Source organism: Homo sapiens, chromosome 4, assembly GCF_000001405.40.
Source record: "Homo sapiens chromosome 4, GRCh38.p14 Primary Assembly".
Classification (NCBI taxonomy): Eukaryota; Metazoa; Chordata; class Mammalia; order Primates; family Hominidae; genus Homo; species Homo sapiens.
This window is the reverse complement of record NC_000004.12, coordinates 135,383,103-135,403,029: the sequence shown is the minus strand read 5'-3', so window position 1 is coordinate 135,403,029 and position 19,927 is coordinate 135,383,103.

Here is a 19,927-nt window from a genome sequence, read left to right as displayed (position 1 = left end):
AAATGTTGAATGGTTTTCTATCCTCTGTATTACCGCATTTGTTATATGCACCTAGAAGCATATTTCAAAGAGTAGCTAGGCTGAAAATTATTCATAATAACATTTGCTTCAGATTTATGTTTTGGTTAAATTCACTTTTGACTTAATATTTTAAATAGATTTTGCTCTAATTTACCAACTAAAAGTATTTTAAATATAAAAAATAATGTTTTGCTTGAAACACTAACATTTGAACAAAATTTTCATTTGATTAGATTTTTCCAGTATTTTTGAGGTTATGCTGGTATATGGGCCCAAGCATCATTAGTTTACTCTCTTCTTAATTACAAGTGCAACTATAAATGGAATGAAATGAAATAAATATGGAAGATTACCAATTGCTGTTTGCATCCAACTATGTGCTTAAATATGTTTTCATTTATTATGAAATTATTACATCCTGCCAAGATATGAAATGAGATGCAATGACACACAAAATCAGAGCATTTATCACTAAGAGGCAAGCAGGATGCCTCTACCGGTTATAAAGAGTGTGCTTATATACATTAGAAATCCAGTATGATTATTGAATTTAATCTATTTCAAGTGGAAATTTTCATGTTATCATTCCTCCATCTGTGCTTCCTGCTATATGATTCAAAATCATAAAACAAAGTTTCCAAGTATCAGTACAATTATAATAGTTTGCATGAGTTTTTCTAGTTGTTGAATTATAATTTGGCTTACCTTCGATAAGCAGGTTGTCCCCTGTCTTCTGAATTCTACAGCTATTAACACCACTGCAAACATGTGAATTATATTTAACATTATCAAAATTTATTCTTTAATCAAACCAACATTTATATAGAATTGCCTCAATACATTTAAAATAAAATCACTGTGTTAGATTAGTGGGTTCTAAACAATTGTACCTAATCTTTAAGTTAAATTTTTATAATAAGAGGTATTTGATTGAATATGTCCCTATTACCTCATGAACTGATTATACAATTGTCCCTATGCTTACATTTTCTGTTTAATCTACACTACACCTAACAGCAAGAATAGCTTTCTTAATTATTTTATTTTACTATAATTCTATTCATTTTTCTAGTATTTATTTAACATAGATATGTTGATACATACATATAGATAGATAGATAGATATGTTGCTTCATATGTACCAGGAATATTTGAAGGGCTTTACAAATATTAATAGATTTAACATTAAACCCACCTTCTTCGTATTGCAATCTTTAGTCCCTCCACTCCTTTTCTGATCTATAATTGCTTCTTTTACTTCTATTTAGGATCCTTCTCCCATTTCATGTTAAGAATTGAACAATTGGCATATTCCATAGTTCAGTTCAGTTACCTTGCACTAAAAACTAGGTCAGTAGGTCAGTACTACTTCAAATGTATTTCACTTAAGTATTTAAAATAGATTTGTGCTTAAATTACTGAGAGTTCTAATATTTAGAATAACTGGTTTCATGCTCTATAAAAAGTTGCTGCTCTGGCTTAGTCAAAATAATAAAAGCAGTCAAACTTTTATATTTGTAGGTGTACTACTAAAATAAATAAACTAATACAAAAATGTCAGATAATACACCAACAACTTAACTTGAAAAATGGCTAACACAATAGTTTGAATTTTATGTACAACTGGTTAACTTCATACAACTTACTCCAATAACCCTGTATCATCACGTACTTTTAGTATGTACATTTTAAATGTATCATCTCCTAACCCTCAAAAAGGCAATTTATATATGCACATATATAAAGAAAAAGATAATTTGTATATTTTTTCTAATATAGGTAACTTAAATATATATATACATATACACACACATATAAATTTGCAGTAATATAAATAGAAAGCAAATAATTTACCATATTAAAATAGCTTATCTTTAAAAGAGATTACATAACAGATTTATTGCTTAGTAAGATTACAGCAAGTACATTAGATATTAGCTCATTAGTATGACTTAATTAAGTAAATATATTTTAAATGTTTGTCATTACAAATAAATTCTTCTTATATGCTAATTTCAAAACACAATAATAGACATCATTTTAATAATCTGAGTAATTCAAGCATTGTTCTATATTTTAATCAATTCACTGAAGAAATACAAATTTCAACACTTTTGAAACAGTTTCATTTTAGGAGATCTGGCAAGTAATCATTTTACAATGTATGCTAATCACATTTGACATCCAAAAAGACACACAGGTGATATTTTATTCTGTTAATAAACACAATATTTTTATAAGTACTCTAAATAATTACTTTTGGCTATGAAATGCATTTTAACTCATTTTAAAGATTTTAATTATTTAACATTTTTTAACTCATGCCATAGAAGTAAATAGTGAATAAAACATAATGCAGCCTGTAATTATGCAATAAATTATGACATAATTTTCTGATACTGTCTTTATCACATTCATATAAATAACATTTCTTTGTTTTTTTTTTTTTGCTTTTCAAACATCATGAGTAAATTACTATTTTTATATAACTAGCTAAAAATATTCAGAATTTGGCATAATCTCAAATAGAGATTCTTTAAAGATTTTTATTAGAACTAGTTTATCAGGTATAATTTTAAAAAGATTAGAAGACTATAGGACTCAAACACTTAAAATTTTTTACATGTAGAACATTTTTCTACATTTTCCCTCGAATCTTGATAATAGTTTGTTGCAAAAAGTTTCCATTTGTTTCTTCAAATGGCGTATAAATACATGTGTACACATATACATATATTTTAGCCTATCATTTTCAAACTCCCACATACTTAATCTTCTAGAAGGAAAATGACAAATTGCTGATTTTAAGATTTAATAATCTCATACACTGGGTTGCTATGGAATTAAAGATGAAATAAAATACCTCGTGCTTCATAAACTCCCTCAATCACCTTTGAAAAGTAGTTACTTCTCAAAAATTAAAAAAATGCATCTATATGGAAAACAAAGAGAAATTACAAAATGTAAGCCTGTTTCTTTTAAAAACACATATAGCTTTCATTGCTATTTTATTAAAACCTCTCTTTTAAATGTGGTCGTTTCAGTTATCAATAGCTGTTTAAAAACCGCCACAAACTTTGGACTCTATAATGATGTATTATTTCTCATGATTCTAAAGTTGGTGGGGTAGTTCCTCTGCTGCTTTCACCTGGAGGTCTTCATTTGGCTGCATGCAGCTGGTGGTTAGGTTGGGGGTAAACCTTAGTTGGACTAACTTGGGTGACTGGCTTTCTCTTCCTATGAGATCTTTTTTTCCTGGGCTTCACAACAAAGCGGACATACAGCGGTGTTGCAAGTGGGCATAAGGCAAAGTGGCAAATGTTTTTGAAACCTCGACTAAAATTCAGCCATCACTTGCGCATCATTATTGGCCAAAGCAAGTTATGATATGCCAGAATCAATGGGCAAAGAAATAGATCCCGCCTCATAGTGTAAGATCTGCGAAAGAAATTTTGGCCGTGTTTAACGTCTTTCCATAAACTACCTATTATGGTATCAATATCACCTTTGCAATTTGACTCGGCATTTATATCTGAAGATTGGAACCTCAAGAAGAGAGTCTTATTGCTGTCAAAAGCTGTAGTACTGGTGAGTTAATAACCTTCTCTAATTCAATTTTCATGTCTGCAACACTGTGGATATTAAATGTACACATCTCTGAGTTGCTCTGTAAATGAATTAGGGATAATACATAAAGTGCTTAGCTCAATATCTGGCATAGACTATATTCCAGACAATTGTTTATCCTTAACTGTTTCTAATAGCCTTTTGGCACTCTAAAAATTATAATCATGAAGCAGATATGTTATGAACCATAACTTAATTCTTTCTTGGCATGTATGAGGCCTGCTCTTAAAAAGAGAAGTCTTTTTAGATGTCATTTTTATAAATTTATATTAATCTTTAAACTTTTCTCTTTCTAAGAGCACTTTCCCAATTTGCTGAATAAGATCAAAGAATATATATTTATTCAATGCAAATACCTATTTAGTCACAAATTTTAAATGTAAATCTGCTTAAATCTTTATTTCTGCATCAGAACAATCTTCAGAGTAATGGACTCAAGTTCATCGGGAGGCTAAACTCCACCCTATACCAAATATTTATGCCAAACCCTGAAATCAAGGATATCTGGGAATTATTTATTTATTTATTTTAGATGGAATTTCACTCTTGTTGCCCAGGCTGGAGTGCAATGGTGCAATCTCGGCTCACCGCAACCTCCACCTCCTGGGATCAAGGGATTCTCCTCCCTCAGCCTCCCAAGTAGCTGGGATTACAGGCATGTACCACCATGCCTGGCCAATTTTGTATTTTTAGTAGAGACAAGGGTTTCTCTATGTTGGTCAGGCTGGTCTCAAACTCCTCACCTCAGGTGATCCATTCTCCTAGGCCTCCCAAAGTGCTGGGATTACAGGTGTGAACCACCGTGCCTAGTTGCACCTGGCCTAGGCATTAAATTTATAATGTGTCCTGAGCCATTGCCTCTCTGGCTCTGCATTAATTATCATTACTACGGTTAAGTGTGACTAATTTATGAAACTATTATGGACCCCTTTCACAATAATTAAGCTTCTAGATAATTCACACTATCAGTAATTATGTACCAGTCTACTTTCTCATCTAAAATCTAATTTCCTATTTTTCTAAGAAGGATCATGTCACCCAGACACCTAAACACATACGTATATATGCACACAATTCTTGACTCTCTTGCAAATCCCTAGGCACACAATTCTTGACTCTCTCTCAAATCCCTGCTTTGACCAAAAAATTTAGCTTCAGAATTAAATATCTGTGACTCCTCACATAATTTCCTAACTTACTTGTTCCTACTATTTTCAACAAGAATCATGGAGGAAAATGTAGAGTATTTTACTTAGTACTGCTATAGATATTTTATCCACGAACACCTGTGTAACATGATTTTCCATCTCTACTTCTTTCTCTATCTCTGATCTATTTGTTTATAGGAATTTAATTTAATCCATCTTAAATTGAGATTCTTTGTCTAACACCTTTTACAAACTAGACTCAATAAATGATTTTTAAAAGAATGGCTTTATTAGCATTATATGTATCATTTCAAATGATGTTAGGTTAAAGTTCTATTTTACTCAATCAGTGCTACAAAAATGTTTTGTTGAATAAAAGAATACTTTATCATTCCCCAATTCCAATAATGAAATTTTTGAGAAAAGGAAATAAGAGTTTAATTAATGTAACAATACCAAAGAAATCTTAATTGCTTTATTTTAACCATTGGCAAGTAATCAAGAAATATTTCTTGTTGTCATTATTGTTAAACAGTGAACTCAAGCTGTATCTTTAAAAAAATGTATCCTGGAATTTATAATATGAGCCAATAGTCCAGATTTAAAATAAAAGTAATCATATCAGCAAGAATATAACTCATTTGTGGGGAAAGTAGCAATTATTGGTTACATGATTAAATACAGCAGGTCTTCAGATAACATCATTTTATTTAATGTAGTTTTGATGTAACATTAATGAGAGTCCACGGTCTGTGTTGTGTTTACACATCCTCAGTACTATTCTCTAAAGAAATCCTCATAATACTAAAATAATCAAAAATAAGCAAGAAAACTATTTATTCCTTCTTTCCTACAGTTAATGAAATAAAGGATCTAGGTTGAATGATTTAACTGAAATACACAAATTGTAAATGTGATCATTAGGCTGTGTCTTGGGTCTACATCTTGCAATGCCACAAATCCCACAAAATAAAGATGATCCAAGAGTTTGGAGGAAACTAAAAGACATAATATATAGATAATATACATAACATTGCACATAATTTAATTTATGACAAACTCAACTGATTCTCAGAAGCAAACTTTTAAATGTACATTTTCTTTAATTTCATGCAAATTTGCTTTTATTACTTGGTTGTAAATGTAAATTGCATGTTATTTTATTGCAGACATATTTGCTTGTTTAATCTATTTTGAAAGCTGCAGCAGGATATTTCTACCTCTGGTTATTTTACATCTGATAAAAATAGAGTTAGGATTGGTTTCCACAAACCAACTGAACCATATAGTCAAAGATCATGAGCTAGTGGAGTTAAAAAAGCACTAAAACAATCTATTTTAGAGGGATTTAAATTCTATTTTAACCACTTTCTTCATTGAAAATGGCTGTGGCAGTCCAATCTATAACAATGATAAAAGAAGACCCCATTGTTTGAAAAAAGGATGTACAACTGGAATCCTCCTCAGCCTCTTAATGTGGCCACAATTGAGATACTAAAATCTCTAGGACTAAAGAAAAGTTGAATTTGAAAAAAAAAATTATCTACTTCAGCCTCTCTCAGTTCAAAGAAACAATATCTTCTACAATTACTTAGAGAAAAATCGTGTATATTTTATATATGCCATCCACTGAAAATAGATTAAAAATTAACATTAATCAATTTGAAGCAATACTGAGTTTAAGAGATAATATGAAACTAAACTTTTCTGAGTCAAATATGTATGATTTTAGGGCATATTCTGTATTAGTCCAATTTCACACTGCTGATAAGGACATACTGGGAAGGACACTGGGAAGAAAAAGAGGTAAAATTGGACTTAGAGTTCCACATGGCTTGGGAGGCCTCAGAATCATGGCAGGAGGCAAAAAGCACTTCATACATGGTGGCAGCAAGAGAAAATGAGAAAGAAGCAAAGGCAGAAAACCCTAATAAATCTATCAGATCTCATGAGATGTATTCACTATCACAAGAATAGCACGGGAAAGACTGGCCACCATGATTCAATCACCTTCCCCTGGGTCCTTCACACAACTCATAGGAATTCTGAGAGATACAATTCAAGCTGAGATTTGGATGGGGTCAAACCATATTACATTCCATTCTAGAGTGACATGATATAAAAATACTCCTTTTTAAGGTAACAAACATTGAAGTTTCTTGTCTTATTAATGCATCAGTACTTCCATTAACTTTTTCTTTAACACTGCATAATTTCCAGGGAATTTATCCTCTGTATTATATCTATTTTGTCAATTTCTAACATAAACTGTGAAACATTGAACTTAAAATTATAAGATAAGGGCTCTTCCTGAGGCTAGGCTTTTATATTAAAACTCCTTGTGAGAGTTATTAAAAACCTCATAAAGATGAGGAATACTATTTACCACACTCTTTGAATAAATATTCGTTAATTTATGCAAACATCATTGTTTTTGCACTATTAACTCATTTTTCCTTCTGTTGACTCAAAATTATCACTCTAGAAATCCAAGCACTTCAATGATTGAATTAGGTACTATTTTAGTCCATTTGTGCTGCTATAACAAAATACCAAAAACTTGGTAATTTATAAAAAACAGAAATTTATTTTGCACACTTCTGGAGGCTGGGAATCTAAGATCAAGGTAGTGGCAGTTCAGTATCTGAGGGGAGACCAATCTGTGTTTCCAAGATGGTGACTTGTTGCTGCACCCTCCAGAAGGAAAGGATGCTGTTTGTATGTTCTCACATGGTGGAAGGGATAAAAGAGATTTAAAAGGGCAAATCTTCCTTCACCGAACCCTTTTATAACAACATTAGTCCGCTTATGAAGGCATGACCTAAACGCTTTCCCAAAGGCTGTACCTCCCAAAATTGTGGTTTAAGTTTCCAACACATGAATTTTCTGGGATGCCTCCTTACCATAGCAAATACCATAATTAGCTACCATCTTCAGTTTTGCTATGTCCATAGATTTTATTTTATTTTGAGAACGCTAACTAAAAAAAGAAGTTCCCAGTCATTTCCAGTCCACATTAACATTTAAAAAGCAGTGAACTAGCATAGGTATACTATCGAGAATAAAGGCTAGCGTTACAAGACTTCTATAGTTTTCCAGGATAGAATTCCTCTATAAAGGCAAAATGAGGGCATATTAAGTTATATAGTACAGTCTGAGAAAACTTCATCTACACTAAATCGATGACAATTTAATCAGAAAAAAACCTTAATATAAGGGAACCTGGAAATAGTAAAGAATATATTTTAAAATAACACTAAATCTAAGTAAATATTTCAACAAATAGTGGTTTAAAAAATGGATATTTCCATGGATAAAAATAAACCTCAACCTTTAACACATACCGTACTGAAAAAAAATATTATCAGATGAATATTTGATCTAAATATAAAAGTTTATGTTATAAATCTGCTTGATAAAATATGGAAGAATATTTTTGCAACCTAAATGTGGACAATGATTTCTTAGACAAAAATAAAAGGAAAATAATTTCTAAATTAGATTTCATCAGATGGAAAAATGAAAACCTGTGTGCATCAAAATAAAATGTTGCAAAAATAAATGTACAATTTACAGACTTGGAGAAATATTTGTAACACCTATTTCTTACTAAGGATGTTTATGGAGAACGTATAAATAGCTTCTGCAACTCAATTACAAAAAGAGGAACTGATAAAAAATATTGAACAAAATAATGAATGGCTAATGAGTTCATGAGTACATACATCATAAGTCTTTAGAGAAATAAAAACTAAAATTATAATGCAATAACACTATATACCCATTAGAATGTCATAAGATAACAAGACTGATAACACAATATATTGATAAGGGTGTACAGCCAAAAATCTAATATAATACTGGTGGGGAAAAAATGTTGTTCCTTTGTTTTCCTCTTATCATGACACTTTATTAGCTTCTTTCTAATATTTTTTTCTCTTATTTTCATTAAAATAAATACTTAAGCAAGAAGTGAGATTTTTAAAAAATAAAATTCTAAGAAATTTAAATTATCTTTGAAGATGCTTGAAAATATTCTGTCATATTTTGTATCTGTTTTCACAGTTTGGAAGATATATCTAAGAAAAAACAACTAAGACAATTTGTATCCTAAATACAAACAGCATAGGATGTTTTTATGGGTTAAATTGCATCTCCAGAAATTGATATGTTGAAGCTCTTAACCCCAGTACCTCAGAACACGACTGTATTTGGAGAAAAAGTCCTTAAAGAGGCAAACTTAAATAAGGCCATCAGAGTGGGTCATAGTCCAGTCAGACTGGGGTTCCTACATGACAAGATTAGGACACAAAGAGAGACACTGGGGACGCCCTTGAAGAGGGGAAAGACCATGAGAAGACACAGCAAGATGATGGTTATGTGCAAGCCAAGAAGCCAGGCCTCAGGAGAAACCAAACCTACAAGTATGTTGAGCTTGAACTTCTAGCCACTACAGCTGTGAGAAATAAATATCTGTTGTTTAAATTGCCCAATACTTTGTATGGCAAGCCTAGCTCATACAGATATATTTTTTCTTTTAACACAGTAACTAAGACTACAAATTCATGATAACTTTACAGGTGTAATTCCAAGATTCTCCACCCCTAACAGGCTATTAAAAGAATTGTAACATAGGATGATGTTAAAGTAATTCTCATACATTCACGATAATGTATTCTTCCATATAATGGGGGGTTATTAGATCAAGTTCTAAAGGTAAATATTTCCTTAGCAATGTTGAATGTCTTATCTATTGTTTCTTTTATTAAGATTTGTTTTCTGTATCTCGCAGGAACATTGTTGTTCTAGATTTTATATTCAGGATATTGTATTTCTGAAGCAAAATGATACGAAATATTGCCAAACAAAATAAAATATAAAGAGTACTTGAACAGTATTATAAGAGATAAGATAAAGAAAGGCTACTGTTTAAAGTAGCCAATATTTTAAGATATAATTCAGGTCCTAAATGTTTTATATTACTCTCAGCATAAATACATTGTCTAAACATTTGCTTCAGGTTAAATATAATTATACATGTTAAGTCTTTCTTGTTTAGAAACATTATCTCATATAATTAACCAAAATTTTACACTAAAATTTGTAGCATCTGTAATAACGTTCTTCAGCAAATTCCATGAGGATGGGAATGTACTTCCATTACTTCCCTCAGTTGTTAAGTAAACTCTTTTAGAAGAGTAAAGAAAGTGAAAAAAAATTATTCATTGTGTCTGCCTAATGAAGAAAATTTAGTACATTTTATTTCACATGTATAACTGTTTCTTCACAGCAAAGGCATTATGGCTGAAATTTTTTTTTACTTGATAGGCAGTTTTATTAGTTTTCATGTATATAGGTAAGTGACCTGTCCTTTGTTTAAATTGATTTTGTTCAGAAAAAAGAATTTCATTCATCTGGATTTGCAATGGTGGTAAAATGAGAAAAAGTGTCCTATAGATTACCACATTTTAAATATTTTACCTTGAATCGTAAACACTTCACTCTAGTAGGTACTTTAGAACTCAGTTGTTATTTGTCCTCTGAATATGATATACCTTTATATGAGAAACAGACTCCTAACTATGTTTATTTTTCAGTTTTTTTTTCTTTAATATCTCCTTGGAAATAACCACAATAATCTGCCATTCTAAATATTCACGATCCTTCCAGTCAACAGTCACTCTTTAGGTTTAACCTTTGCTACTGGACAAATATTTCTTTTTGCTTAATTGTGATTAATTAAGTGATGATAACTTCAATTTCAAATTGAAATTTGACACCAAATCATTTTTTTTTCTTATGGGTCTTTCCTTGGGTTCTGCAAAATACTCTGCAACAGTCCTTCTATTGGTCAGGCTCTCTCAGACAATATCCAGGCATTTACAGAAGTTTGAAGAACATGTTAACATCAATATTAAAAACAGCAGGAGGCAGCTGAATGCCTAGGCAGACAGGGATGAGTCCCCAGTGAAACTCCACCTTCAAGCCAAAGTAGCCTAAAACCCACGGCCCAAAGTGAAAACTTCTATTCCTGTTGCCTGCTTTCTCTGGATTGGTTCTTTCTGAATAATGTCTTTTGACCAGTTGAATGTTGCCTTTTCCAAAAATACCTACAGCCTGCCCTGTCCCCATCCTGTGCCTTTAAATTCCCCATACTCAGTTAGTAGAGTGGGCAGACAGTTGGACTTTGGGGAAGAGAGTTAGCTTGACTTTGGGGAATAGACAACTGGACTTTGAGGAGAAGATGACCTCACTTCAAGAAAGACTACCTGCCCTTCCCATTCACTCTCCAGCTCCCCTCTCCACTGAGAGCCATTTCCACTGCTCAGTATGATTCTCTGCCTTCACAATTCTTCAAGTCCCTATGTGATCTCATTCTTCTTGAACAAGGACAAGAGCTCAGGATCCAATAAGTGTGGGTACCCAGAAAGGCAGTCCCACCAGCCCTTTGCCCTCACCAATGGAAGGCAGTCACCCCATGTCACAAGGCAAGGGGCCAACTGAGCTGTTAACACACAGCCGTCGGAAGACAACGGAATTAAAGGAGCAATGTAACGTCCCTTTGCTGTTCTCATGAGAGTGAATGATTTCTCAGGAGATACAGTTGTTTAGAAGTGTGCGTATGTTTATTGCAGCATTATTCACAATAGCAAAGACTTGGAACCAACCCAAATGTCCAACAATGATAGACTGGATTAAGAAAATGTGGCACATATACATCATGGAATACTATGCAGCCATAAAAAATGATGAGTTCATGTCCTTTGTAGGGACATGGATGAAATTGGAAATCATCATTCTCAGTAAACTATCGCAAGAACAAAAAACCAAACACCGCATATTCTCACTCATAGGTGGGAATTGAACAATGAGATCACATGGACACATGAAGGGGAATATCACACTCTGGGGACTGTGGTGGGGTGGGGGGAGGGGGGAGGGATAGCATTGGGAGATATACCTAAGGCTAGATGACGAGTTAGTGGGTGCAGCGCACCAGCATGGCACATGTATACATATGTAACTAACCTGCACAATGTGCACATGTACCCTAAAACTTAAAGTATAATAATAAAAAAAAGAAAGATTTCTAACAAAAAAAAAAAAAAAAAGAAGTGTGTAGCACCTCCCCCCTCACTCTCTTCCTCTTGCTCCAGCCAGGTACAATGTGGGCTTCCCCTTTGCATACCACCATGATTCTGAGTTTCCTGAGGCCTCCTCAGCCATCCTTACTGAATAGCCTGCAGAACCATGAGCCAATTAAACTTCTTTTCTTTATAAATTACCCAGTCTCCGGTAGTACTTTATAGCAATATGAGGAAAAACTGATACATCAACCCCACTTAAAAACTCCCAGGGAGGATATAAATTAATCTGGTCTGGTTCATTTGCATATCCCTAGACTAAAAAATATTATGGAGACTCTGAGTCCTAAAGCAAGGACACAGAGTGGTGATCATGGGGCTGTAATAGGCAACTCCACCTGAAACTTCTGGAAACAGTTGAGGATAACAATTTCTTTAAGGAAAAAGGAAGCAATATTTAAGATGTGTGAGGTAAATAGTGTTGAGGAGACCAAAACATACATATTCAATACTCACATAACTTTATGATTACAAGTTTGTAAAGATAAATGATTAATGTTATACTTTGAAGATAAATATTATTCTCAATATATGTTGTCTACATCAAGGGTCCCTATCCCTGGGGCCATGAACCAGTACTTGTCTGTGGCCTATTAGGAACTGGGCCACACAGCAGGAGTGAGCAGTGGGTGAGTGAGAATTACTTCCTTATCTCTGCCTCCTGTCAGATCAGAAGTGGCATTAGATTCTCATAGGAGCGTGTACCCTATTGTGAACTATGCATTTGAGGAATCTAGGTTGTGTGCTCCTTATGAGAATCTAATGCCTGATGATCTGAGGTGGAAGAGTTTCATTTCAAAACCATCCCCACCCCTCACCATCCATGGAAAAACTGTCTTCCATGAAACTGAGCCCTGGTTCCAAAAAGGTTGGGGACAACTGGGATCCCTGGTGTGAAAAAGGTTGGTCTACATGTTTTTTTATAATATGTTTGACTAAGGGAAAACAGTACTGTTTATTTTGTGATATTATTAGATGATACTTAAATGTCTTTTTTACATTTCACATTATTCTAAAATTAACTATATATAGTTAGTTTACATTTTAAAAATAATAACTAACATATTTGAGTATTTAATAGGTGTTAAGGTTCTGTGCTATTCACTTTATACACACTACATCATGTAACTACAGCAGCAAATCTATGAACAAATTAAATATATATTGACATCATTGTTTTAAATGTATCCAATAAAATATAAATACCATAGTAATTTGACACCAATTATTATTTAAAAAATAAAAAGCTCTTTATTAACAATTGACAATCGTATGCCTTAATTTTCTCTTTAAATCATATTAACACTTTTTTCTTACAGATTTTATTATCTGGTACTAATTATATTTATGGTTGAAAATCATATCAATCACTATATCAACTATTCTGCAACACTGTATTAGTTCATTCTTGCATTGCTATAAAGTAATACCTGAGGCTGGGTAATTTATACAGAAAAGAGATTAAATTGACTCACAATTTTGCAAGCTGTACAACCATAGCCCCAGCATCTGCTCCTGGTGAGGGCATCAAGAAGCTTCCAATCATGGCAGAAGGCAAAGGGGAAACAGGCTTATCACATAATGAGAGTGGGAGAGAGAGAGAATTGGGGGAAGGTGCCACACTCTTTTAAACAACCAGATGTTACACGAACTAACAGAGCAAGAACTGCACTCATCAACAAGGACTGGTGCTAAGCCATTCATGAGGGATCTGTCCCCATGATCTAACACTTCCTACCAGGCATCACCTCCAACACTGGGGTCACATTTCAACATGAGATTTGGAGGTTAAAACATCCAAACAATATCAAACACAAATATCTACCTAAATTACAATTAATGTTGTTGAATTTTCAATCATATACATTTCTTTCTAACATTGAACTTCATAATAACTATTTGGATCTAATTATTCAAATGTATAAATATAGTACAAATTTGGGTAAATGATTATTAAACATAAAAAGTAAAATTCTATTTTAAATGCATTTCTTAATGTAAATGCATAGGGACAAACTTGTTGCTTCAATCAGAGGAGTGATCAGTATTTTCTGCTATCTCTTTTCATGACCTGCAGTTTTTTCACCCAAGCAGTGTAACCTGGTAAGTTTCCATGTGGGTAAGGAAATAAATTTCTCTTCTAAGGTGTAAGAAAGGAAATTGTGAAAGAGGAGATGAGAAAGGAAAGCCCATGGGGCCTTAATCACTGGCATTTTCTCCACCAGATCAATTTTAGGAAAGAGTTGGGGGGGTATGCAGGGAGAGGAGAGGGATGCAATACAGGGTCAGCATTTGGAATTTGTTTTCTTTACAACAATTTCTGGCTGAGTTTCCCTTGGATTGTTTTCATGTTTCACTGAGGTTGCCTAGTATGAAGATTTCTATTATAATACTCTCACTTAGATGAGAAAACAAGTAGAATTCAGGAATATTTCTCAAAGACATACCACATCTGAGCTTTGGAGATGACATTTGAGTTAGGTTCTCTCTGATCCCTTATCCATATACTTAACCACTTAAATACACTGATCCCAACTCAATTATATTTCATGAAACTAATAATGCTATGTCACATAGATTCATTATTAAAATAAAGTGTTAAGGAACTTTTAATATAAGGGTAACAGTTTGATAAATAACACTTCATATCCTGTTTGTTTGTAACAGAGAAGACTGAAACAAGGTAAATCACATTTCAGAGAAATAAGAGAAACGTGGCAATCAGAATGAGTCCATTACTTTCCTTCAGAGTACATGTACATTTCTTTTTGTCTTTAAACAAAAGAAACAACTATGGCGTGACAAAATGCACAAATATGCACACACATACACAAACACACATCACTCACTTGCAGTACTTCTTTATTCAAAATGCAATACAGGTAAGGGAGTGTTTATATGTATAAATATGCATACGCTTCAGTTTCTAAGGAGAAATAAGGAGAATAGGATAAAAAAAGTGTCTTTTAACTTTTCACTTTAATCTCTTTTGTTTTAATATTCTACCTTCAGAGATGCTGTAGTAACCATGGTGGCCATCTTGATTTCTGGTCTGGGTGACCAATGTGTTTCATAAATCCTAATAGAATATACAAACTGAAGAATGCATGACCTTGTAGCTCTGTGGTCATTGAACACTCCGTGGAAGACCATTAATGTAAAGAGTGAGGTAATTAAAACTGTGGTTCTATGCCAAAGGTTACATTCCCCAAAGCTCAGAGTTAAAGTGCAACATTGAGACAAGAGGGAGAGAACCAGAATAATGCTAGATTAATGCTGTAGCATTAGTATACCCAGGTGATTTATCACGTGGTTGGCAAACATAAGGCATTGTTAAATACCCAGGGTAACAAGGAAAGTGGCATAGATGGTGATAACTTGTAAACATGGCTACAAATAGAAATGAGTGATGAAGAACAGCAGCACAATCCATGTATTCATTCAACACAAACTTGCTGAAGGCCACTGTGTATGAAATACTATGCAGTCTAGCTGCAAAGTCAATCAAGATAAGGACCTTTCTCTCTAAGAGAGAAAGATTCCAAAAAAAAAAAAAAAAAAAAAAAAATAGTCAACTCCAAGACACAAGGCAGTAAGATTTAGGTAGATAATGGAAATCTATATACATATTGTAGGAGGGTGGGTTCGTTTTTGGTGACATGCCTGAAAGTTTAGGATGAGTTATATTAGATATACAAAGGACAAATGATCTTTCTTCATGAGGTTTTTATAGAAAAGCTCAGAAGTGTGGAACATGGGGATGAATTAGAAATTAGAAAGTTGTTTGGTATAGTTGGAGTAAAAAGCATTATGTTGAAATACTGAATTGAGTAAATTAAGTCAGCTAAATAAATAGTGGATTTGATTAATTTGCTATGCTGTTATTGAGACTCAGACATGCATTTTAGGTATGGGTTCCTGTATAAGAAAGCTTTATTCAGTTTACCCAGCATGAGCGTGAGAAAGCAAGCACATAGTCATTGTTTTTAGGGTGGTCATGATTTGAACACATGCTCATACAGTTATTAGCTATGGGACTTTGAGAAAATTCTTTACACTCTCCAAGTCTCATTATCTCATTAGAAAGACACAGTGATATGTAACCTTCAAAGTATATAAAGTATTCAAATATAGAATGATTCTAATCTTGAATATGGTAGGCATTTAGCTATGTATTTTTGCTATTATTTTTGAATGGTAAGTTAAAAACATCATCTTTCTTCCCATGAAAAAAATCATTATATAAAATATCTAAAACATTAATTTTGTATATATAAAATGGCAGTGGCATTAAAAGTATAATAATAGAGGTCTGAAAAAAATGTTTCACTAATAATTTATAATGGGAAAAGCTAGAAGACCACAAATAGCAGAAAACAAAAATTAAAAATCATGAAAACACGGAGTTAAGCAAATACTTAATGGAAATATGGCTAAATACAGGGTTTAGAGGACATAAGTTACTATTTAACATTTTGATAGTGGCAGGAGACAGACAAATTCCTAGACAAACAAGGCAGATCCTCAGTGAAACCTGACCTTCAAGCCCAAAACATCCTGAAACCTGAAAACCCAGCTACCAGTTCTGGATGCAGTTCATGACTGACCTGAGTGAGAACTTCATTGACGCCTTATAGCCAGTCAAATGGTGCTTTTTCCAGGCCTGCCCATGAACTACTCAGCACACACTCCCCTAAGCCGCACCCATAACAACCCCGGACTCAGCCACATGTTGAACTACCTGCTTTCAGGTCCCCTGTCACCCAGATGGCCACCCACTCTTGAGTCTCTTCTCTGCTGAGGGCTTTCCTTCTGTCACTCAAAATTTTTCCCTGCGTTGCCCACACTCCAGTGTCTATGTAACCTCATTTTTCTTGGTTGTGAGACAGGAACCCAGAACCTACTGAATGTCAGGAACGAAAAGGGCTATAACATGTCCCTAGTCAGCTTGCTGAGCTATAGGCAGTGACCGGACTATGGGAGTGAAGAGTGGTGAAACTTCGGAGGGCCCAGACCTCAGAGCTCCCCAAGCCAGAGCTGTAACACCACCCCTTTCACTAGGCCACTGACAGCAGAAACAAAGAAGCTATGACACGCCCCTGATCACTGGGCTGTGAACAGTGGGAGAGCTGGTATCTCTGAGTTTTGGGGCACAACAGCATTCCTCTCGTCCAGATGCCACTGCCCACGGCAGAAGCTGGTTGCAGCACACCTGGTACAGGGTAGACTTTTAATATTTTATTTAATCTTTACCAAAAATATTCTTTCACCTTTTGTTTCATTAAAAAATATGCAGTTAAACATTTTTATACCTTGAAAAATATTTTTTCTTATCATGGTATCAAACCAGTATTAAATAGAAACTATAGGAGGCCATTGCTTTGGACTAAGCTCCTGCACTAGGTCCCAACAGACCAAACTGAAAATCAAAATGGAGTCACTCATGCTGAAGTTCATGTCTTCAAACTGAAACTGAACCTTTTGAGAAATCAGGAGAGAGAGAGATAACAGCCTGATTTAATAAACAGGCCAGTGTCAATCTGCATGATAATGAAGTTCTCTTGGTTTTAATCCTTAACCTGCAGTAACTTGATGTTAGTTATTGTTCTCTTGCCCCTGTCTTATAAGGAGAGTAACTCCAAAATGACTAATCTGCTTTTTACTCTTTGTTTCTGCATTCTTCTGTCCTGTTTCTGTCTATAAAGCTAACCTCCTTTGCTTAACTGATAGGAACACTTGTTCCATTTTATTGAATCAAGTGTTGTCCCATTCTAAAATCTCAAATCAAGACAACTGAGAACTTTAAATTAAATTTGTTGTAATTTTGCCTTTTCACACACTGTTTTTTCTTAGTTGTCGCTATAAAGATCCTTGAAATAACTTTTTAATATTATTTGAATTTATAATCAGTATGGCATAAAAATTTGGAAGGAACCCTTTACATAAATGCATGCATATACACACACATAAACACACACACACATACACACATACACACACACACACACACACGCTATGCCATAGGAAAGCTGCTTAAATATAATGTTTTTAAAAATATTCTGGGTTGGAAGTTCAAGTCAATGGACTCATATTTTTAGGAAGGTATGAATGTTTGAAATGGGGACCAGAAAAACTCTGCCTCCTGGTCTAATTATGTTCTAAGAAAGAAAAAAGAACCTGAGCCAAAAAAGTGCAAAAGTGTAGAATACAAATTTTAAATTCAATTCTAGAAGATTCTAAACCACAAAACTATTAAGAATATTCTAAAAACCCAAGAAACCTCAGAGACAGTGAGGGGCAAACATAAAATTGTCCCAGAGAAATGCAAGTATTTGGAATTTTCATGGTAAACAGTTATTGCTACAGATAAATTTATCTTTCAAAATGATATATCATGATATAAATATATCAACATGAGTATAAACAAATGCCACAAATAGAAGCATTTACAACTCTAGCTATAGAAGAATCAACTATTTAGAGAAAAGACGTGAAAGTATCATAAAGGCAAATTTCACTTAGTGTTCTTGTATTAATTTGTATTGCAATTTAATCTTATAATCTTATTTGTTACTCAGAAGAAAAGCCACACACACACACACACACACACACACACACACACACATATCACATCACATATCAATTAGATGGAATATTTTTAGGATGAAATATCTTTCATTCAAGATCACCAATTCAATAAGATAATTAAAGAGAAACTTGAAATAATGTTTCCTTTTTTCTCCTTAAAGTCCTTTATGTTACAAACTATGTTCACCATAAATAAATTCAAAACCAACATATAAGGTATTCTGATTGCAGAAATGTTATTATCTTTCCTTCTAAACTTACTTTTTGGCAACTTTAGTGTTTGAAGTCTTTTACATCACCCTGCATATATTTAAACTTGTAAACAAAAGGATTGAAAGCTGTCATTTGAAAATGTCATGTCTGTTGTCAGTGATTCATGAATAATTGACATTGAGATTACCTAGGGAAATTTGCAATTAGCCTTCTCATTAACATAAGAACGAACAGTAAGCTGCTTGGTGAATGCTAGATTTAAACTTAAGTATTTACTCAAGAGATAAAAAGTTAAAAAAGGACCTCTAATGAAAAATTCATTAGTTCAATGTAATATCCCAGGGGTTTCCAAGTTACTTCATGAATCAGTCATTGAGAAAACCAGAACACATATTCAGTTATTCATTTATGCACTCAAATAACTGTGAATGTCCACAGAACAAAAGAGATCAATCTAGAGGTAACATATAATAAAATGATGATTTCAACTGCAATGGTAAGAAATACATACCATTTAGGCCAGTGTTAATCTGTTATTGATTATTCAGAGTTAAAAATTACACTCTAAGAAATGTACATGTTAATAAAATAATAACAAAATTTGTGTGCATAACTACTCTGAAATGAATTTTGTATGTAAAACCACTAAGGTGACAATAAATATCATTATGACTCAACATTTTCTCTTTAAGGTTGATGTTTAAAAATCAAGGGAGCATTGATCTACATAAAAATGGGCACTGATCTTTGCCTAAGTGTAGTCATAAATAAGATAAAGTGAGTAATGTTAGATAGTATGCACATAAAGATACAAAGTGTCTGTTTCTATTCATTTTTTATGTGAATAAATTGCTCAATTTAATTGCACCTAACTTTGGAGGTGCCTTTTGAAATCCACTCATATTTCAGGTATAATTAAATGCAGCAAATATTTTAAAGAATTCATTGCTTTTGATTCAATTTTAGAGATGAAATGATGAGCGATGTAAAATAAGTTAAAGATATTAGAAAATAATACAATACAGTTCACGGAGTTCTAAAGAAAAGATATTTGTATAGAGTGAGAAAAAATATAAATACATTTTTGGAGTAGTTAATATTTCACATACTGCATGTTATGAATATGTGTCATCCAGACAATAAACTCACATAAGAAATAATGCATTTGGAGAAAAAAGATGATTT